This window comes from Homo sapiens, chromosome 4, assembly GCF_000001405.40.
Source record: "Homo sapiens chromosome 4, GRCh38.p14 Primary Assembly".
Taxonomy (NCBI): domain Eukaryota; kingdom Metazoa; phylum Chordata; class Mammalia; order Primates; family Hominidae; genus Homo; species Homo sapiens.
This window is the reverse complement of record NC_000004.12, coordinates 120,755,330-120,778,756: the sequence shown is the minus strand read 5'-3', so window position 1 is coordinate 120,778,756 and position 23,427 is coordinate 120,755,330. Positions and strand designations below refer to the sequence as shown.

Here is a 23,427-nt window from a genome sequence, read left to right as displayed (position 1 = left end):
CCAAATACAAAATCCAGGAGATGCTTGTTTTACACAGTGTTGTTGGCTAGCATGGTAGTTGATTCGATTGTGTTTTTCAAACTCGAGTATAATATAAATTGTTTCAAGGAAAAAAAATCAAAAGACACTGATACTGACTAAGGTCTTTAGTTTATAGCTCTTTAAAAATTATAAATATGATAGTACATATCCAAATACACATTTTAATACCAAAATGCAAATTCGCTAATTAAATAATAAGGCTGCAAAGTCAATTATGTTAATGTTAACAAGTTAATATGGAAGATGAAAATGTTTTGCTATGGTGATGGTTCTTTGATGTTGTCAGGTGATGAGGTAATTGCCCCACCCCTTTTTCTCTATGACAGCCAGTGTTGTCTTCTGAGAAATGTCATTTAAAAAAACCTTTTTCTATTCTTTTTTCATTTGTCTATGTCAGTTCAAATACCACTTGTCAGTAATTTGTTCTTAACAACAAAGGCAAACACAGGCCCTGGAAGCTCTGTTTTGTGATTATAACCTAGATGATTGTAACCTAGATGATAACATTAATACTTTTATTAATTTTTAGGTTACATTGAAAAAAAATTCTAAAAGTAGTCTTAGAAAGGATGTGTACATACCTGAAGGAATTGCTTTCACCTCCCCTTTTCTCCAATCTCTTAAGTTTGAGAAACACTGGGACTTGAGAAATAGCTCTGACCCTTCATTTATTGGAATTATCTGTTTTTATGTTGGGAGCAAAACTGGTCTCCTAATGAGACTGTAGGGCCAGTTTAAAATGCTCTGTCTCCCTCCTCTTTTGGGGAGGGGTCACTCCTTTCTCTTTGAACTCTCCAGCATTTATCGAAACTTGCTTTTAACTATACTTATTCACCTTTCCTCATGTGATTGTTTATGCCTAGATTAAAGGCATGTTGAGGGCAGAAATATGCTTTCAAATTGACTGCTCAGTTACCACCTGGTGATTTTAAAGGTCAAATCAGATTTATATTCCTTTTTGCTTTGCAGTAAAACCAGTCTAGTCAAACATCATAACACAAGTAATAGATGACTTTATTAAGATTAATTCTGTCCTCAAGAGTTAAATATACACAAAGAATGTGAAAAATGCTTCAAATGAAGTGTTTCTTGGCAGCTGGGAAGGGTAGCTATAGCCCTATTTTGATTATGTGCTTTTGCTAGAATATACTGGTTTGTATAATTTAATCATTTTTAGTTGGGGCTCCATGAGGGCTTAAAAAAGTAAACTGCAGAATGATTTTGAAATTAACACTAATGCATGATTCTAAGGCACATTTTTTTGAGCCAGTGGGAATATCCATCATAAATTGTTTAAAATCTCATTGTGAAATTAAATCATTTTAATGAAATGTAATCCTACAAAATAAGGATTTACTATTGTCAGAGGCATTTAATCATCTTTACCTAATTCTTTGTATTTATCCTTAGCCTTTTTATCCCTTTCCTTTTAGACACATACAGGAGAAAAGGAGAAAATCTGTCCATATTGTGGCCAGAAATTTGCCAGCAGTGGTACACTCAGAGTTCATATCCGGAGCCACACAGGTATGGAGATTGTAATTAGACTAGTGAAAAAACCACTTAGAGAAATCACATGCTTCCAAGACAGGAAATATTGTAATAATACAAATATCTTCCAGATTAAGAATTAATCTTGGCTGTTTTCTCTCTCTTAAAGCATTGTACAACCCAGTTTTTTCATCTAGAAGAATTTGGAATGAGTATATTTTCTTAAACTAAGTAAAACATCTAAAGTGGAAATAATGTTTTTAATGTTTGGTTGTGATATAACTGTGATTAACATCTATATGATTCTAATGGATGGAATTAGAGAATAACAGTTTTACTTTTTATAGATAGTTAAGGGCATCAACTTGATTTATAATCCTTCCTGTAACCCATGTCAAATGTGGCCTTTTTACCTTGGAATGTTGCTTGAATGCTGTAGGATTTTATTGGATACCAGAGTGGGTGATGTGAATGTAATATCTGTTATGCCACAGGTTACTTCCTAAAGATCCCCTTCTTTTCTTAGCACTTCCTGTGTAATTTCTCCAATGAAAGAAAGCTGTGCCCTAGTGAAGGGTGAATGAACAACTAAATATACTTCAAAAACCTTGTCTGGATTCTACCTATCACATAGATAAGCCCTTGAAAAAGACTTGAAAGAATACTATTAATATTGATAGCCAGATGATTTTACATTAGTCTGAAAACTTTTTTCAGTACCTAGACTCTAATTACATGGATAACTATGTGACTGGATTATACAGCTGAAGCTTCCTCTTCAAGGGCCGTAGTATATGACTTTCTTTACCTTTGTATCCCCAGTACCTAGCTCAATGTCTAGCACAATAACTGTATTGTCAATGGAGAAATGTTAAAGTAGGCCAAAGAATCAATACAGTGAATATTAGATATAGGTGGAGGAAGGGACACCCTTGGAGCATAATTTTTAATTTTCTGACTAAAACTTAAAGACATATGGTCAGCTTAGTATTTGTTATCTTAGAATAGGTACTTAAATACTTTTAAATGAAACACATAACCAAGAACAGATAGCTGTGGAATAATGGGTGCTCTAAAGAAGAAAAGGAAGATTTTTCTTAATTAGAAGTCATCTAGAGAAAGTGAGGCTTTTAGGATCAAGTGTTGCAGAAGCAGAGAGCCCCAAAATGAAAAGCAGAGGGCAGCACATGGGAATGAGAAGCAGAGAACCATGTTGAGGGCAGGTGTACTTAAAATTGTGCCAACGGCCGGTGGCACCAGGTACTGATGGTACATAAGTAAGGAACTAATGAAGAGGGAACAGAAAGTTTTGAAGTTCCTGGCTAGCACTGCAGTCTAGTGGTGTAATCTTTGATGTCACTGGGCAGCCCTCTTTTATGTGTATTTGTGGCTGTATGGAGTTAGGATGGAGTAAGGGCAAGGGTGAAATCAACAGCCCTTCACTCTGATATCAGTAATTCTTAGAAGATATCTTTGTGCCATACTTAGACTTAGTTTGCTTAGCAGATATCATGCTGTATTAGTGTGCATGTACATATAATTTGTGTATGAGAGGAGGGCAAGTAGAGAATAGGAAACATGTATTATATGTACATATCAGAATAGTCAGTTTATGGTAATGCCCCAAGACATGATGTAATTGTGTTATGTTTGGTATAGTGTGTTTTTAAAAGGTAGGGACTTACATTGTTCAGAATGCATTAAGACATAGCTACCAGCACAGAAAAGATGAACCCAATCCAGTAGAACCCTTGATTATTCAAAATAATTCCATCCTTGAGGATATTGTATGCCTACATTTTATTTTACTCATAGTATGGCTAGGCAGTGGAGAAGAATAAAGCACTTACACTAGTAATTGCTTCTAAAATTTTAATTAGTATTATCCTCCATAAAATTACAATAATAAGAGGATTTTTAGAGTTCCAAGAATTCTCTCTGATAAAATTATTAAATATATGTCATGGTTTTTGTTGTCTTATGTTCTATATTATGTATAATTTAAAGTGTATTCTACACTCCAAATCACTTTATGTATCATTTGGTTATTTATTGTATACACGAGTCTGGGCCAAATTGTTGTACAGATTCTGGCCTATTAAATTTGGCTTCTGATCAAGAGAACTGGTTATCTAAATTCAGACAGCAGTGGTAAGGCACAATGAACTAACACATACAATTTGATTGATAGATAAAGAAATTATATATATATGTGTTTGTGTATATATATATACACATATACATATACACACACATATATACATATACATATACACACACATATATACATATACATATATATACATATACATATACATATATATATATATATATAGAAAGAGAGAGAGAGAGAGACAGAGAAGGAGAAAGTGGTGTATGTGTTTGTGTGTCCACACAGAAACTCTAATTCTAATTGTCTATCTAGTTATTTACTTCTAACCAGATTTTTCTGTTTAAAATAAAACTTACCATACTTTCTCATTTTACAGTTCTTCTTTGGGTTATTTTGATGTCAAGCCTATGCCCTCAGTGACCACTGTCTAGCAGTGTGGCTGGGGTTGTGTTGGAAGTGGTTGGTGGCTGGCATCTGGGCCTCCATAACGGCCCTGGCACAAATTTGTTTTCCTGCATGGACAAATGATGCTTTCGCTTCCCTTTTATTTGCTTTGTCCTGTCCCTCAAATGATAAGCATCCATTTGCCCTCCCAGGCTACAGCCTGGTTCAGTAATCACATGGTTTTATGCAGTTATTTCACTAGTATGATAGCGGAGCTCCGAATGTTTTGATTCTGTAAATTCAGTGTTTTCTTCTCCCTGTGTTACTTTTCCTTATGAAGTCACCTGGTTTTATTCAGCTGTTTTTCAGTGCTAGGTGTAGCAATTTATGGGTGTGCTATCACATGAGCAAGGTGACAGTCACGACCTATTCGTCAAGAAGTATTTAGTTGTACATTATTTAGGGAGGACACAATGAAGTGGCGAGGACCATGAGTGAAGGCAGGGTGGGGACAGTCAGAAGAGGACAGCTCCTCTGTGGAGCAGTGTTCTTTGGATCACTGATGCTCATGTTGTGGCCTCATCACTCCATACCATTCTTAAAAATAATCGAGGATTCTGGAAAGCTTTTATTTATGTGGGTTATATCTATAACTATTTGCCATATTAGAAATTAAAGCTGTTTACCATATTAGAAAATTTAAAAATGTTTACTTGTTAATTTACTAAAAGTAACAATATTACCCATTACATGTTAGCATACATATTTTTATAGAAAATACCTGCATTTGCTAAACTAGAAATCATTTAGTGTGAAAAGAGAAGTTGTTTTACATTTCTGAAAGTCTGTGGTTTAAGAGGAGACAGCTGGATTCTCGTATCTGTTTCTTCACTCATCCTGCTGCAATATGTTCTTTTGATTGCAGAATTTGAAGAAAATCTGGCCTCACAGATATGTAGTTAGAAGGGGAAAGTATTTTAATAGTTGTTAAATAATTTTGGGTGTTATTACAGTGGATGATATTACCTTGGACATTATTACTACACTAAAACTCAAAAAGGGCTAGTGTTTTTAAAGGCTTATTGTTGTGTGGAACCTAAAATTATCTCAGTGAGCTTTGCCTATTCTGTGACAGTAAAATCAGTTGGACTGTGTTGCACTTCGAATGATCTTTTACCCATGCGTGATTCTGTAACATCATCATGTTACAGGTAACTTGGAAAATATTGGCTCACTAAGTTATGCAGATCTTTTATGTTTACTTTACTTAGAGGAAGAACGTTTTATCTTATTCAGGGGATGATATGTTAATATCATAGCTGATCTCATTAAATAGCCTAAATATTCAGAAGCCTTCAAGCACTTGGGAGCATTCTAAATTTTGTTTGACTGCTATAATTCCTATATTTCCTAACAATTCCTATCATTTCCTTTTTTCTTTATTTTTTTCAATGACAGGCTCACTTCTTTTATATGCAAAGAACAAATGTTCACAAAATGTTTAATAACCATAATTTGTCTGTCAGTCATTTTGTTTCATATAAAAATGATGTTTCATGAAAAAAACTGCCAGGTCAGCTTGCAACTCAATCACACAAGTGCTTTTCCTTGAGACAACTTTCATACATCAGCATGCGTTACAAGTGCTTTCAGCTTAATTTCCAAATATTAAAAAGATTATACACAAAGGTTAGAACTTAATAAAATTAATATGTTTTACTTTATCACAGATGTTCTCAAGTGAAACTGCCATTTATATGTACCATGATTTTGTGGCTGTGAAGGCTACAGTGACTAGTATTACAAATTGAAGTCACTAGCAGTTACCAGTTTTACTCACCATTACTTTTATACCATTAGTGTAAATGTCAACATGGTGAAAAAGACAAATAATGTAATAGTAATATTATGAAAGTAGTTTTGACCTTGCAGACGTTGTAAAGAGTCTTGGTGATTCCCAGGAGTACTCAGGCCATATTTAGGGAACAAATACTCTTGAAGGGCCCCCTGGCCAATGATAAATACCTAGGGAAAAGCAATTCATGTGAAATATGTGTTGGCTCATGTAAATAAGAGCCCGGCTGACAGAGGCCATTCTGTTTAACTGGGGCCATTTCCGTCTTGATTTCTCAGACTGGTATTGCTTCCAACTATTGCTGCAGCATTCTTCATAGTAAATTTTCAAGCTTTTGCCACTGCTGCTGCCGCCGCTGCAACGTTAATGTCCATTGGCATTGCCTTTGCTGCAAAAGTCAGTTGATGAGTAGGTCTGCCAGCTTTGACTCTACTTTTGCATAGGAACTGTTCACTGTTGGGCTGATATTATGTTTATGACTGTAAATAGGAAAACATTAAGGCTTTCTAAATTTGGGCTTACTTGTAGATATAGTCTAGAACTCAACTCCAAAACTTGCCTGCAGATAGCAAAAGATAGAAATTTGATAAAAGATCATCCTATCAGTAAGGTTTTTGCTGATATTTGAAATTTTGTAGTCAGGGTTCAGGGGACTCTGAGTTCTCATGAGATTAAATAACTTTTCCCGCCTAGAGAGTTGCCGTGATTAGTAGAAACAGGTCTCAGGGTGTTTCCTGTTATACCCTCCTCTGCCATAGGAGTCAGTCTTGCATAATGGAAAGAGCAGGGGCTTTGGGACAGCTGGCTTGAGTTCAAACCCTAGCCCCCTGCCACTAGCTAGTCATATACTTTTGAGCTAATTTCTTCATGTCTCTAAGTCCCATTTTACATTGTACATTTTTGTGAAGAATAAATGAAATCATGTATGTAAAATACTCAGTGCTAGTTCATAGTAGATGGCCAGTTCATTGTCATAAGTATAATTTCTAAAATTCTTCTATAATATCACTCCTTGTTAAGAGTACTTTTCCAAAGTTAAATGAATTGTGTTTATTAATATACCGTGGCAAGCCTTTACTGAATGACATAACCTCCTATATTATTTTCTACTTTTCTTCTTACGTTTATTTACAGGACATCATATTGAGAATTTTCATGTTCAATACCTTTCCCTTTTATTTCTTCCAGCTTTATCAAGATCTTAAATTGTTGAACGTGTTGAAATTTTCATAACTTAGTTTCGTAGATATAATCTTGGTTGACTATTGATAAGGAATTAATATCATGGTGTTTGGCATACTTAAAATCATGGAATTTTCTTAATATATTAATTTGGGGAAAATGCATTTTAGATGGCTATGTTTCTGATTAACTAAGACTTTTTTTAAAAGAAGGCTAAGCATTCTTTTTAATACATGTTTAAATGATAACTCAGTTGAAAAAATATTTTTGGTGGTATTTAAAATTCTGAACTGTGTATGTCCCACCAATTTTTTCCTTGAAATTAAATCATAGTAACCTCCAAAATACGCTTAATAAATTGTTCTCCTTGCCATATAAAACTTATCCTAGGCTTTTAATATTTACACTGCCTTATTTATTAGGCATAAATCCAAAGTATGCTTGATTCCTAAGTCTGAAGAGAGGTTGCGGGCAATAATGTTTGTTTTATAAAAAGAACATTGTTATGTCCCTTGAAAAACTGTTTATAATGGCAAAAAATTGGAAAAGATCCTACATATTTAACATTAAAAGAACTCATAATTCATGGTATATCCATAAATTGGAATATTATATAGGTAACAAAAGTGATATGGATATATACTAAATAACATGAAAAGAAATGAGAAAGATGTTACAAAAACAGAAGGATATATTTTTGTAAGAATAAAGCATTTGTATTTAAATAATTGAAAAGTTATCTACTAAATTATTAACTGCTTTTATTTCTATATGTTATAAATATGTTTGGTTTTAATTTTCTTTATGATTTTCTGTTTTCTAATTTTTATAATAATTTCTCTTGAATAATACAAATATTTAGTGTGTATATCATGATTGTGCAGGTAACTGTTATTATAAGATTTGTGCTAAAATACTTAGGTGTGAAACTTCTCTGCATCTTATTCTCAAATGGACCAGGAAGAAGTGCATATAAAAATACATGTTAAAAAAGAGAAATTATCTAATTTTTTTTTCTGAGACATAGTCTTGCTCTGTCCAGGCTGGACACAACCTTTTTGTCCAATCATATTTTAAAACAGCTGTCCATACTTTCTTGAACCTAAGCATACAATTGAACTGTTTCCCCTGCATCTGTGGATCTTCATTCTGAAGGCTCCCATGTCACGTAAAACTATGATCAAATAAATTTGTTTGCCTTTTCTCCCATTAAAAAAAAAAAAAAGAGAAATGAGAAGGAGAAAGCAAATTTGGTGAAATGTTAATAAATATTAAACCTAAGTGAGTTTATACAGTGTCCACTGTACTATTCTTCCAACATTTCCTCATGTTTGAAATTTTCATATTTAAAAATAAATAGGGGTCGGGTGCGGTGGCTCACGCCTGTAATCTCAGCACTTTGGGAGGTTGAGGTGGGCAGATCACCTGAGGTCAGGAGTTTGAGACCAGCCTGGCCAACATGGCGAAACCCCGTCTCTACTAAAAATACAAAAATTAGCCTTGGTGATGGGTGCCTGTAATCCCAGCTACTTGGGAGGCTGAGGTGGGAGAATCACTTGGACCTGGAAGGCGGAGGTTGCAGTGAACCAAGATCACGCCACTGCACTCCAACCTGGGCGACAGAACGAGACTCCACCTCAAAAAATAAACAAACAAACAAACAAACAAATAAATAAATAAATAGGGATATTTTATTCCAATGAGAGCAACCGTGTAGATGCAGCTGCCACTTAAGTGGACCAGAGAATTGTTACTTTAACATCTAGCTTCATAGCTTAAGTCTTGTGCACATCTCCACCAGAGCCTGATTCTTTCAACAGGAAGACTTCTATTCCCTAAATATAAACAGACGTTTTGTTGTTTTGTTTTTGTTTTCTTTCAGTTATACTGCTTAGAGAAGCAGTCTTCTGAAGAAGCTGAATGTCATTATTTCATGCTTCATCCTTCTTAAGGATGCTAGATTTATCTCCTTGAAAAAGGAATCCCACAAAATTTGCTGTTCTCATGGGTTTTTCAGACATTTTCTTTGAAATGCATTGGAAAGTATTTGTAAGCCTTAGAAAAGAAGGTTTAAACAATTGATAAAAAGGCTCACTGGGTCATTTTATTATCCTACTTAAAACCTTTCAGTGGCTTCCCCTTGCCTTGTACAAAATGAATGCCCTAGACTTTTCTCATGAGACTTATCAACTACCGACCCCTCACTGTTTACATTCCAGGCTGCTTACTGGCCTTCTTTCGCTTTTCTCCAGTCTCCAATTACGTGTTACTTTCTCCTTGACGTGTTCCCTGACCTGTCCCCTACCCCTGCCTTGTTAGGTCAGCATATCCATGCTCCTTTACCCTCCTCAGCACTGCCCACTTCTGATTGCCTGCACCTGTGGCCATCTTCAGTAGTCTGTGGGTCCTCAGTTTTCTTAGGGCCATGCCCATAACTGATACCTTACTTTTTACCATTCAGCACACTGCCTGGCTTAGAAAGAGAACTTGTGAATGCTTATTCAATAGATAAAATAACTTACAAGTGGGTTGCATTACCTGTATGATAGTAAAAAGGATGCATGGGTTCAGAGTGAGAAGTTCCAGATTTGAATACAAATTTAGTTGACCATAAAATTATTTTTTCACATACTACATACAAAAATCCGTAACATTCACTTTGAGAAGTGCTGGCATTAAAGAAGAAAATGCTACACTTCCCAATCTATGAGCTGGACCCACCCATATTTGCTTCCCTTTCCATTTTTTATCCTGTTGCTTTGTCATGTAATTGGTGGGAAAACAAACTGTATAACAAATGATCATTAATAACATGGTTCAAGATCTAACTCACTAGTGCCTATAAACTTACAGTGCTTAAATGAGGGAATAAAGAACAACATGTGGTCAACCAGCACCAAACTTACTGTTTGATTTCAGCTTGGAGTTTCCTAGTTTTTAAAGTTTCTCATTAGAAAGAACGTAGAGGAAATTGGTCCTGACAAATGCTCTATCTGTTTTGTTTGACAAGGGTGAGTCTGTGCTATTGGAGCTGGAATAATTACAAACAATTATGTAGTACATTATAGTCTTTTGCAGTTGTGTAGCAAATCTCATCTAGTAGAGATCTGGGGGCTCTCATTGTTTATTATATATAAATACCTATTTTCAGCTATATTACACTGTACTTTGCTTATCAGTTTCCCATGACTAGATTCTAAGCTGAAGGACAGGGCAGATCAGACTCACCTCTTTAATCTTTAAATTTGTTGAAAGAGGAACGTTCTCTCAAATATAGTATCTAAATTAATCCTTTCACGGCCATTGAAAGGATTCAGCCATTTCTAGGACCATTCTCATTTTCTAGATGAGGAAGCACGGATTCAGAGAAGCAAATGACCTATTCACTATCAAAATAATAAAACACAGGTCTTTTGACTTCAAATTCTGTTTTAAGTTATCTCTTTTTTTTCTATATAGCTATTATAATTACCACAAGAATTACAGAAATTCTGTAAGTCCCCCAGTATAAAAGATGAGGAAATAAAAGTCTTATATCATTTTAGTACTGTGAAAGTTTTATGCTTTAGAGCCAAATGATGTTTTTATTTATTGATTGATCTTTTCACATTGTTTTAGTCTGTTCTCACCCTGCTATTAAAGATATACCCAAGACTGGGTAACTTATAGAGGAAAGAGGTTTAACGGACTCACAGTTCCACATGGTTGGGGAGGCCTCACAATCATGGCAGAAGGCAAAGGAGGAGCAAAGTCACATTTTACATGGCGGCAGGCAACAGAGCATGTGCAGGGGAACTCCCCTTTATAAAGCCATCAGATTTTGTGACACTCGCTCACTATCACAAGAACAGCACAGCAAAGATCACCCTGTGATTCAATTATTTCCCACCGGGTCCCTCCCATGACACATGGGAATTATGGGAGCTACAATTTGTGATTTGGGTGGGGACACAGCCAGACCATATCACACATTCACTTGTTCATTTTCTGCTAGTCAGCTTTATAGTGGGCAGTAACATACAGAGGAAATAATGATTAAGTTATATTTACTAAATTTCCCTTTTTTTATTTCTAGGAAATGGTTACTAATTGGCAGTTGGACCTTTGAATATACTGCAATGTGATGAGATTTTTATGGAGTTAGTCTTTTAATCCCATACCAAGTATGCCTGAAGGTGTCAGTTTAACTTTGTTTTTATAGTATTCAAACTGTCCATCAACAATTTCGGAAATCAAATTTCTTTTTTATGATATCAAATAACACTCAGTTTTATGAAGAGGAAATAAGACTCCAGTTTATGGTTTTTCCTTCCAATTTGCCAGTTGGCGTTTTTCAACATTTCCTGTCCAGTACAGTGACAGTATTCTTTTATGGAACATTAAAGGCAGTCTCCTTCATACATATTATTTTTTTTTTAAAACAAGTGTTTTTGTTAATTGGCTCATGACTAACGGTCATTCTACAAGACAGTGATAAATTAGCTATTGGATTATTACCTGTTAGTCGTGGGAGGAATTTTAGTATTTATGTTTTTATTTTTTGTTGATAGTGCCTAAAATTAAAAACATCCTTCAATTCCTTCATTTTATGATTGATTTTATCCTTCACTACCTTAAATAACCAACTGGTTGTATCCTTGCTTCCCCTTCGTTCCGCTCTGCATCCTCCTTCTTCCCCCTTGTTCGCATTACCACCATTCTGTAGTCTGACAAGACTTTGTTTTTTCCATTAACCTTGAAAATGTTATTTTTTATAAATCTTGTATCCACCTTCTAAAGTCCATTCATTCTGCACAGTTTGGTAATTAGAATGAGAATGTGGCAAGTGTGCACAAGGCATCTGCTTTTTTAGAATAAAAAATAATATTCTTGACTTTAGAATAGAAAGGGTTTCAGAAATCTAGTTCAAGCCTCTTATTTGAAATAATGCCAAGCAAAGTGCAATGATTTGCCTAAGGTCATAAAACTTGTATGTGGTTCAGCTAGAACTAAACCGAGGCTTAAACTTTTTCCAATATATCACATTGCTGATATTTTTATTTCTTATTCTTTGACATACCCCCTGACCCCTGCTGTTACTCTTGAACATACCATAGAACTACATACACTCCTTTCATCATGTTTGACAATATTTTCTTGTTGATATATCAACCAATTGAAGATAACTTTAACATAGAAACTATAGTTTGTTACCTATGGTCAACTGAGAACTTAACTCCAGCTATGGAGAAACTTTGCTACCGTAAAATTAGTATTTGTAATACATTGTTATTTAATGCCACCTTTATATCCAGAGTATTGATTCTGGAGTCAGATTATGGGCTTCAAACTCCATTCTATTTATTTCCTTCTTGAATGAACATTAATGAGTTGGCTAATTTCCTTGAAGCTTGGTTTCCTCATCTCTGATAAATGGAATAATAATAGTCCCAGCTGGGTGTGGTGGCTCATGCCTGTAATCCCAGCACTTTGGGAGGCCGAGGCAGGGGATCACCTGAGGTCAGGTGTTCGAAACCAGTCTGGCCAACGTGGTGAAACCCTATCTCTACTAAAAATACAAAAATTAGCTGGGCGTGGTGGTGCACACCTGCAATCCCAGCTACTCATGAGGCTGAGGCAGGAGAATCGCTTGAACCCAGGTGGTGGAGGTTGCAGTGAGCTGAGATCGTGCCATTGCACTCCAGCCTGGGCGATAGAGTGAAACTCTGTCTAAAAAAAAAAAAAAAGAAAGAAAAAAAAAAGTCCCAACTGCATAGTGTTGTTTTGAGGAACAAATGAAGATATAAATAACTTTGCACAGTGCCTGCACAATGTAAGCATGTGATACTGTGAGCTATTGCTGCTAACATTGCTGATGTGTTTGTTTCTGTATTTAGTCACAGGTATTCATACTCCCTTGATACACTGTTTGACCCTCTATTCCCAGTGTCATTATGCTTATCTTTTCATAAACTTTAGCTACAGAATATAGATCATCTATAGAATGTAGATGAGGATTTGCTGTCAAACAGGGCTGGTTTAGGGTGAGTGAATGTGCATGTACAGTGTGTTGCTGTCATCTTCATTGAAGGGGAATGTTCAGGATTGTGCCTGGCGGGCAGCTCTGTAATTTATCATCCGGCTTCCTATGCTGAAACAACAGAGATGGCACTCTGTGGGTCAGCTGAAATAGTAGAGCACAGTCTCCTGTTGGTTTATAGCTTCTTAGGGTCAGTGAGAGCTGAGGTTAATTCAGCAAGGGAATCCACGGACTGTGACATGAATTCCATCAGTTGTTCATAAATTATGGAAGAAATTCTAGGAACTGCTTTTGGGTTTTTAAAGCTCTGGGCCAGAAGGTTAATTACTTGCCTACAGTTCCAACCAGCTTTCTGTGTTAATAGATACCGACTGTGTAGGCCCTTCTGTTCTAGGCTTGCTTACACATTGTTATTTGAATATAGTAATAAATCACTGTCTTAGGAAACATGTAATTTTTTGGATAAATACCTGTGATCAGCTTAGATATAAAAAATCAGTATATTATTATTTGATCGTATTTGGATTTTAGCCACTGTTTTTCTTTTTCCTTGAATGCTTTTTTAAAGGAAATAATTTATTCTTTTTAGAATATTTGTCCAACATTATAAAAACAATAGCTTTAAATAATTATAAGTAATTATAGAGCAATAATAAAATTATTAAAAAATTAGATGATTACTGAATTATAAACACAAACGAAAATGTAAACATTTTAAAACAACATTTTAGCACATTTTTAATAAGAATTAGATGACCTCCATATGTTGAGAGAGAACTTATTTTGCTATATTTATTTTCTGTCTCATTACTAACATTAAACCAAATCAAATATTCTCTTACCTGCAGATAATCTAAGAGTTAACAGAAACGTTGAGTAGAATTGACATAGAAATAAATGATTTCCTTAGCATCACACTTCAAAAGCTTCAGGTTTTCCCCAAGAAATGTTTGAATGGAATTTTCTTATAAGCAAAGTCTTGAACTGCATGTTTTTAGATGTCTCAGTGTTATGTTGACACTTTAAATAATTTCAGATCCACAACCACATCAATGGAATGTACCCTTTCTTCCACTGTTTTTTTTTTCTATACTCAGCTCCTACTCAGTTGATTTTGGGTTAATGACAAGTATATCTAACAACTTAAGAGACAGACATTCATTTTGGCTTTCATTAGTAATATGATTATCTATTTTTTCTTTCTTCAAAAATATCAGAGGCCCTAATTTTCTAATGTAAAAATTATAGTGCTATGTCAAAGTTTGTCATAGGTTGGATTAAGGGGCACAGAGTGAAAAGTGAGAGAGTGACATTTGTCCTGGAATATAATGCTATGAACAATAACCAAATGAATTAATAATATCATCACAGAGACTAATAAGATAGATCATTTAAAATATACTGTCATTTACGTAGTTCATATTTTTATCATTTCTTCTTTTTTTTATATACTGGAGTCCTCAAAAATGGATATGGCCTAGGCCACAGTTTACATCAACTGTTTGAACAGCTTTATCTATTGGTAAATTATTAGATAATAGCATACCTCTATTAAACTTGCATCACCAACATTTTTCCTTTGGAAAATAAAAGGAGATTTGATTTCCCCTAATTTGTGCTTTCTTCTGCTGTTGCTACCATTTTTCCACCAAGAATAACTCTCTGTGTTGTTTTTCTGCAAATCGGCACTATGCTTCTAGGCTGGGGAAGGTTTTATATCTTCTCTAGCTGTTTTTTTTTTTTAATCTTCTCTAGTTTTATGGGAGAGACAATAATTTTATGGGTTTCTTGCTACTCAACGTTATATACTCTTGATACTTCCTTGCTGGCACTATTTATAGGAAACTCCTCTTTGTGCAGGCACCTAAGGTTTAACTGCTTAGTTACTCCATGACCACGGTTCACCAACTATACTCATAAATATTGGGTTAAATAAAACTTTGGTAGAAATTCCTAAAAATAGAAAACTACTGGGTGAAATGATTAATAATTTTCTCACCAAATTCTGACTCCCTAACAACAAAACCACATCAATGATAAAGAACATTTCTTCCTTGACTTAAATTGTTCCCTACCATAGCAGTGTGGAACACTCATGGAAGAGTTTTTGTTTGTGGATGGGAACCTTGAAAACTTGGCCAGTGTCTGGATTGTTCAGATCTTTCTGCTGTTTGTGGAACAGTCCCCTTGCTTTTGCCAGCACTCACATCAAGACCCTTTATTGTCTGTCGTCTTGCTCCCTTAGACAAGTCACATGTAATGAGGGTAATTTATGCTCCTGGTTGGCTGAAGCAAGAGCATCCTGAGTAGGGAATCTTTTACTTTTGCTTCATTAACTCACCTCTTTTCATTCTGCATCTCGTATTCTTTTTTAAAAAAATTTGCATCAGTAAAATTCACTTTTTGTTTCACCCTCAGTAAATCCACCCAATCTGGCTTTTTATGATTTCCGACTGAAAAGTTCGTGAGCACGTGGCTGTCCTGTTTTTTTCCTTCTTCCCAATGAACCTCATGTCCTTTGAGTTGGCATCTCTTCAGAAATGAGGGAGGGATACTGTAACTGTAAGATTCTTAAGGAAAATAAAGCATCGTTTAAAGAAATAGATTTTGAAAACCAGACTCCATTTGTTTTGAATCAGATGATAAAATTGTTTTGATAAGTAAGGGTTCTCTTATTTGATTTTTACATTTTATTGCCCACTTTCTTACAACTGTAAACTCTGTTAAGCTTTTAAAAGTAGAGGATCTCTAAAATATTCAAGGAGTAATGTCAAGTTCAGGTTTTTGTTGTCCTTCTTTCAAAGATGGTGTCCTTGGGTTTAACTTGTTTAGGTTAAGTGAGATTCCTCAGAATTTGATTAATGGGAACATTCCAAGAGTAACAAGGTGGGGTTCCGTGAGGTCGGTGGGGTTTCATGGCTCTTTTTGCTGCGGGGAAAAAAAGTATTTCAATTACAGAAAGATGCCAAGAATGAACTTGAGCTACTCCTATTTGTCAGTGTAGCATTTCACTTCTCTCTATGGTGTACTTCTAATTTATTAGAAACTCCATAAATTGAAGGGATTGGAAGGGTGAGATTGGAAAAGTAATTGGGTGGTGCTTTCACAATTACATTTTTGGTTTAATTTTCACCTAGAATGATTCAGTTTGCTGTTTTGTAACCATTTCCTAGTCTACAAAAGCAAAATAAGCCAGTCCCCTGATATTCATGGAAAAAAATGTAAAGTTCTTCTAAAGAATTCCCATATAATACATATATTTTAAAGTTCAACCATGTGGAACGATATCAGGTATTTTTCATGAAACATACACTTTTGAGGTTTGCTTTTTCACTTGAAAGTGTTGCCATCTCTAAAACTGATTTTTGTTAGAAAACTCAAAGTAAGAAGTAAAGCTATGCTTCCAAAATCTTTAAACATTATTTAATTTGGATTCATTGAAAATAAATGAGTTTGACTTTATTCCATTTTAAATTACATTTTCTGTGTGTACATCTTTTCATATTTTCAAGGAATTATGAGTTCTTTGAAATCTACGTTGGTTTTTGAAATATATTAAATGACAAGTTAACGTTATTAAAATGCTTATTGAAAATGGTCTTTTTATATTAATCCAGATAATTAAATATATGTATATTACATATTAAGCTTTGCTGCTTGTTTATAAAATGTTCAAAGCATAGGGCACATTGGCTGTACACTTTTTTAAAAAATTGTGGTAATATATACATGACACATAATTTATCATCTTCAAAATTTTGCATTTTTTAATCTTCAAGTTTGATCATGGTCATTATTAACATATTAATTCAGTGTATTTAGTAGCATGAACAAAAATTTGATTTCTGTGCCTCTGCTAGAGTGGTCAGGTTCACTTCTTAAATTAGATCCATGTTCTAATTTAAGATTATCAAGATTAAAGTGATTTGCAAGGTTTTTCTTTATTAATTTCATGTATTGTAAACATAGATTTTTTCGAAAGGATTTGTGTCAAGATGTTGAATATTGAGGTGGTTACATAGTAGTAGATGGATATTCAGTGATGTGGCTTTAGGATCGTTTTATCAGTAAGATTCATGTTATCCTAAACTGCCTTCACAAATTTTCTTAAGATGCTCTTTTAATACCAGTATGTTAATCCTTTGGTGAGGGCTAGAATTCTTCTGACGTCTTTAATTAAAATTATATTCCATCTATATGGAACATCTATATGGTAACATACATAAATTTTAATCTGAAAGGCATATATTAAACTAGGATTTGATTTTTTTCCTATTGTTATTAGCCATACTTGCTAGTGGGTGGTTGTCATCATAACACATTTTCTTTGTCAAAGGCTCAAGGTAGCTTGTTGGGGCCAGGCTGGGCTCAAGTCAAGTAAGGTGTTCCATGTGGCATCCAGATGTTCCCTTTCATTACTACTGGCTGCCTTTGGAAAGCTAGCTCCAATTTTCTGGAGCTGTTTTCTGAATATTCCCCACACACATTTCAAATAGTGTAGCTTTTAAGCTACTTCCATCTCGGGTGTTCCAGCAGTGAGAATTTGGATACACTTACTTCAAGCCGAGTAAGTTAAAGTACCTCCAATTCAGAGATGAAGAGCTACAAGAAGTCTGCCTGAATAATGTTAAATTGGCATTAAGGAACTGCATTTATTCAGTTATTTTGCCTTTGCTAATGACTTTAGCTAAGTCCTTCACCTGCCCACTTCTCCAGCCCAGGGATCTTTCTTAAACCTATATCCTTGTTTTGTATAATTTATCAGCATCTGAAATTATCTTATATATTTTCTTTAACTTTTTCTTGTCTTTCTCATCACACTAGTAAAATTGAAGAGACAGTGATTTTGTGAAACTATTTGCAACTGCATTCTCAAAGCCCAGGACAGTAACTAGAAGATGGTATGTGCTAAAAAAAAAAAAGTCTATTTAATGAATGAATACATTAGCTTCATGGAGTATCCACTTTGTGGCACCTTTAAAAATCAACCAAAATCAACTTTTTATAGTTACCATCATGCTTCTGTTTGTTCCTTGATGTGTTGTTCAAAGAAAACACTGTGGCTTTCAGTGTTATTCAGTGTCAACACATAATTTAAAGAAAGAGATCTATTTTCCTTTAGTTAAATGAAAAATATTTTATTCTGTGTATATATGTAAATATTATTATTTATGCTGCTGTGTTCACTAAATCTATTTTATTAATCTAATACCTAAATCTCATAGGATGGTATGACATATTTACCAATATAGTATTTCCCTTCTAAATGTTGCAAGTGACTACCTGTATGTAGTTCTCAAGACACAGCTTATTATTATGATAGTGTTTGGATTCACTTGGGAACTGCTTTAAGACATAACACACATTCCTAACCTGCCCCCTACTTTTTCTTGATGAGCGTTGATAACCAAAAGAATGCTGGAATCTACCAGCCAGAAAGATCTGGTTAATGTAAACTGTTATTGTCAGAAGCAGAGTTATTGTCATTAACTTTAGAAAGTCTAACCCAATTTACACAAAATGCTAGCCATATTACTAATTTATGTGATGGCATGAGGTTAAGAGTGGGTTCAAACTCGGCCTCCACTATATGAGAAGCTATGTCATCTTGAGAAAATTACTTATCCTTTCTGTGCCTTACTTTCCTCATTTGTAAACTAGGGATATGAATACTTAGATTATAATATTGTTGCAAGAATTAAAATTGCTAATGTGTGTTAAGCATTCTGAACTGTAGAACAGAACCTTATAGTAGACTCTATACATTTTAGCTATTGTTATTATTTCCATTTAGATTTGTTTTTAGCTACTTTTTTGGCTAATTTTCAGATTAATTAATTTACATGTTAGTTAGAATTTGAATACTGTGACTAGCCTAAGCAAAATAAAGATAGTGTCTAAATATACCTGAGCTATTAAAACATAGTCGTTATTTGAAGTTGGATCACATTGTACATCAGAGCCCATGTACTGACTGTGACCTGTGTTCTTAGAGTTGACTAAAACTGAAGATAAGTTTTTGTTCTCCACAGGATCATTTTATGTGTAGGTGAAAATATTTCCTAGAAACATTCTTCACAGTAATTTGAAATAATGAAGGCAAATATCATATGCATAATGTGAAGAAAACCTAAGAATAACAATTTATCTTTAATATGCAAATTAGGAAAATGACTTTAGTAGTTATTAACCTGTTGACTGTACAGGTAACCTTCAGGTTCCGATTGTGTGGGACAGCAGATAGCTTTGTCCTCGGAGTCCAAAAGAGAGGCAGGATTGCCCTAAACATCCTCCAACCAAGAGGGTAGAAATTTAATGTAGAGTCTAAGCTGATTTGCAAACTACACATTATAGTTTTCAAATAAATTGCTTATAAAAGCCATTTACATGGTGATGCACTTTAAAGCTGGAGTACATTCTAGGATAGAATGAAGGAATGGAGTTGAACTTACCCAAGTTTCCCAGATATGTCAGCTCAGTGTTGGCGGGTGGCATGGGGTAGAAATACCAATCATCTAGACTAGAGGTGCTCTGAGTGATTTACGTAGACCTCATGGGCAACATGTGTAGATATCAGTGATAAGAGTAACTGCCACCGTTAAGAGTAGGATGACTGGGTCGGGCGTGGTGGCTCACGCCTGTAATCCCAGCACTTTGGGTGGTTGAGGTGGGTGGATGACGAGGTCAGGAGATCAAGACCATCCTGGCTAACAAGGTGAAACCCCATCTCTACTAAAAATACAAAAAATTAGCCAGGCGTGGTGGCGGGCACCTGTAGTCCCAGCTACTTAGGAGGCTGAGGTAGGAGAATGGTGTGAACCCGGGAGGCAGGGCTTGCAGTGAGTCGAGATCGCGCCACTGCACTCCAGCCTGGGCAACAGAGCGAGACTCCATCTCAAAAAAAAAAAAAAGAGTAGGATGACTGTTAATTTGTTAGGGCTGTTGTAACAAGGTGTCGCAAACTGAGTGGCTTAAACTATAAAACTGTGTCACCTCTCAGTTCTGGAGGCTGTAAGTCTGAGATCAAGGCACTTGCATGGCCATGCTCCCTGTGAAGGCGCTAGGGAAGGATCTGCTCCAGGCCTCTCTCCTGGCTTCTGATAGTTCTTGGCTTGTGGCGGCATAATTCCAGTCTTCACATGGCATTCTCCCTGTGTGTCTCTGTCTTCACAAGGCCATCTTTTTATGAGGACATCAATCATATTTGATTAGGGGCCCACACTACTCCAGTAACGTTTGCAACAACCCAGTTCCCAAGTAAGGCCACATTATGAGGTACTGGGGTTTAGGATTTAAACATACGAATTTGGTATGGGAGGGCACAATTCCATTCATAACAAGTGACCATGTATCTATTGTCCCAATTGAGACACTTGTGAGAGTGAAAGGGAGTAATATTGTATTAGGGTTCTCCAGAGAAAAAAGAACCAATAGCATATTTATAGATATATTATATATGAGGAGCTTGATTATGGGAATTGGCTTACACAGTTATGGAGGCCAAGAAGTTCCATGATATGCCATTTGCAAGAGACCAAGGAAAGCCAGAGGTGTAATATAGCCTGAGTTTGAAGTTCTGCAAACCAGGTGAGCCAATGATGTAAGTCAGTCCAAGAGCAAAGGCCTGAAAACCAGGAGCAGGGGTTTGTTGATGTAGGTACTGGAGTATGAAGGCCAGAGAACTGGGAGCTTCCATATCCAAGGGCAGAAGATGGATGTCATCTCAGATCAAGGAGAGAGATGGAGGGAGGGAGGAAGGGAGAGAGACAGAAGAAGAAGAAGAAGGAGAAGAGAAGAGAAAGAAGAAGAAGGAGGAGGAGGAAGAGGAGGAGAGAAAGAGAGAGAATTAATTAATTCACTGTTCCTCCATCTTTTTGTTCTATCTGGGAGAAGAAGAAGAAGAAAGAAGAGAAAGATGAGTGAGAAGAAAAGAAAAGAGAAGAGAAAGAAGAAGGAGGAGGAGGAGGAGAGAAAGAGAGGGAATTAATTAATTCACTTTTCCTCCATCTTTTTGTTCTATCCGGGTCCTCAATGGATTGGATGATGCCTGCCCACATTGGGTGAGGGTGGATCTTCTTTACACAGCCTACTAATTCAAATGCTCATCTCTTCTGGACACACCCTCACAGACCCAGAAATAATGTTTTACCAGCTACCTGGCCACATCCCTTAACCTAGTCAAGTTGACATGTAAAATTAACCAGCTATTACTATATTATTCTAGGATAACAGGCATAAACTGAGACTACTTTAGACGAATCTGGATACATCGTCACTGTACTCATAGGATAGGTATAATTTATCCAGTTTTTCAAAGGTTCAATGGCATTGGATGACCTTGTCAGAGTTACAGCTGGATGGAGGATGAACAGTATTCAAACTCAGGACAATCACATTCCAAAAAATGTATGAAAAAAGCTATGTCTTAAAAGAAGTTAGCCTTTTTAAGTCTATGGACAGAATTCCTATATTATAACAGTAGGTAAAATTGGAAATGGATTTATTATGTTCCCTTCTTTAAAATTCCTCACTAGTCTTTAACTATGTATTTCTTTCTTTGCTTGATGGATTTTGGCTGTTATGAAAGGAAATAGTAACCTGGTATATTATATTAGGATTAACATATAATTATTTACCTGATAACTGCAAATCTTTTGTTTTTGTTTGCTGGACTCTGTTGGTATTTGGAGAACAAAACCAGACGTAAAGCTATGTGATACAAAGAGAATAGCTATGAATATTGAATTATCTTAGGCTTGCTAGAAAAATAATTTTACGTAAGTGTAAAATAACATGTTACTATTCTTATCATGCTTTATCCCTAATATAGATTTGATATGTTGATGGATTTCATTGTTAATAAATAAGAAGGAAACATTTTAGCCTTGTTTATTATCTATCACTAAAGTAAAATAAACTTTGAAAATCTAAAAAATGACTTTTTATACTTTATGAAGAAGAAAATGAAAAAATTATCTGGAATTGTGTGATGCAGGAGCTACCACCATTTAGCAGTCACATTCTGCTATGTTTTCTTCCTGTCCTTTTCCTTTGTGGTTCAAGGTTAAATGATTAAGATCTCAGTAAATGATAGCTCCTGCTGTACTCCTACTATTGCTGCTGATGCTGTTACTGCTATTACTATAATGTTCTTTTTTATCATCATCCTGAAATAGAAAAATTCTAGATATATCAGAGAAGCAAAATCATTATGACTTAGAGTCTGGATGGAGGGAGAAGTGAGTAAAAAAGTGTGGGGTTATCTTGGATGGCTCCCAAGTTTTTAATTTGCTAACTAGGTGAATGTGGTACAACTAATCAGGACAGGATTTATAGCATGCATAAGACCAAAGGATAAATACCGCAAATTCAAAACAATGCACACTGATTTAAGCTGTTTGTGAGATACCCAAAGGAGGGTACCTGTTAGACATATGTGTACATGGAGATTGGGGCTCAATAGAGATCTGGAATTCTGATAAGCATGTGTTATCAACTCAGGGTTAAAATAAGATGATCTTTTCCTAGATGTTGCCAAGCCTTTGTCCTACTGACTTGGAAAAGCCACACCTTCCCAGAGTCACGATGATCCTAAGGTCAATAATTCTAGGTCAGCTTACCTAGTGCAAAGGTTGATTTTGTCTCAGAGAAGTTGGTAAGTCTGGATAGCTCATTTAAGGGACCTGTTCCTGTTTGTGTTGTGATTGTTGTTTTTAGTTTATTGCTACTTTGGGTGTTTGTCACCATTTTACAGTGCCTGGTCCAAAGGGAGAATCCTGGGTGCTTCTCCCCAAGGAGGAGAGGCTGGAAAATGTCGCTTGGCAGGGGACACCGCTGCAGGTGCTTCCGTATGATGTCTCTGCTGGAAACAAAGTTGGGGAGAACAGTGCAAGGCCATTGTGCAATGGGGCCAGCCTTGAGATCCAGGAATGTAACTGACAATTTCATGAAGCAGTGTCAGGGACAGGGGAGAGGTCAAGGAAGGCCTTGTTGAAAAGTAGTCACTGGATCAAGCAACAAGGGGCATTGTTGACCCCATGAGAGAGTTGACTGGGATAATGCACATGATATCCAGATTGAATTAAGATCAGAACCAAATGGAACATGAGAGAGTAGAGGAAGAACATACACTGCTAGTCAGAAGGCCTGGCTCTGAAGGGAAGACAAAAGTTTTACATTAGCTGAAGGAAAATATTTTATTATATTGATCTTTGATTGCAGCCAGGGTCTAGCATCCTGCTGTGTAAGTACATTGTTAAATGAAAGAATAAATCAATTAGTGATTTTGAGCTACTGTCCATCCTAAATGATTTGGCTTTGACAAGAGGGCATCTTCAGATC

General features: G+C 35.6%; 1 protein-coding gene across 22 annotated transcripts in view, besides 1 other annotated feature; it reads left to right on the top strand.

The window, feature by feature from the left end:
* Positions 1-23,427, top strand: part of PRDM5 (PR/SET domain 5) — a 238,436-nt gene that overhangs the window by 143,970 nt on the left and 71,039 nt on the right. For 19 of the 22 annotated variants that reach the window (XM_047449558.1, XM_047449557.1, XM_011531566.4 and 16 more), the window contains one exon: positions 1,476-1,569. In XM_047449558.1, the coding sequence (XP_047305514.1) occupies positions 1,476-1,569 (94 nt within the window). Of the gene's footprint in view, positions 1-1,475; positions 1,570-17,910; positions 17,988-22,614; positions 22,742-23,427 lie in introns of all 22 variants that reach the window. The other 3 variants (XR_938679.2, XR_938678.2, XR_938680.3) reach the window with 3 other exon arrangements.
* Positions 318-487: an enhancer, noted in NCBI's record as "experimental_72556 CRE fragment used in MPRA reporter constructs". NCBI's record gives its function as "activates a minimal promoter by MPRAs in K562 erythroleukemia cells, with activity observed for both the introgressed and non-introgressed 4:121699510 variant alleles {active_cell/tissue: K562}" and the evidence as "EXISTENCE:reporter gene assay evidence [ECO:0000049][PMID:34662402]".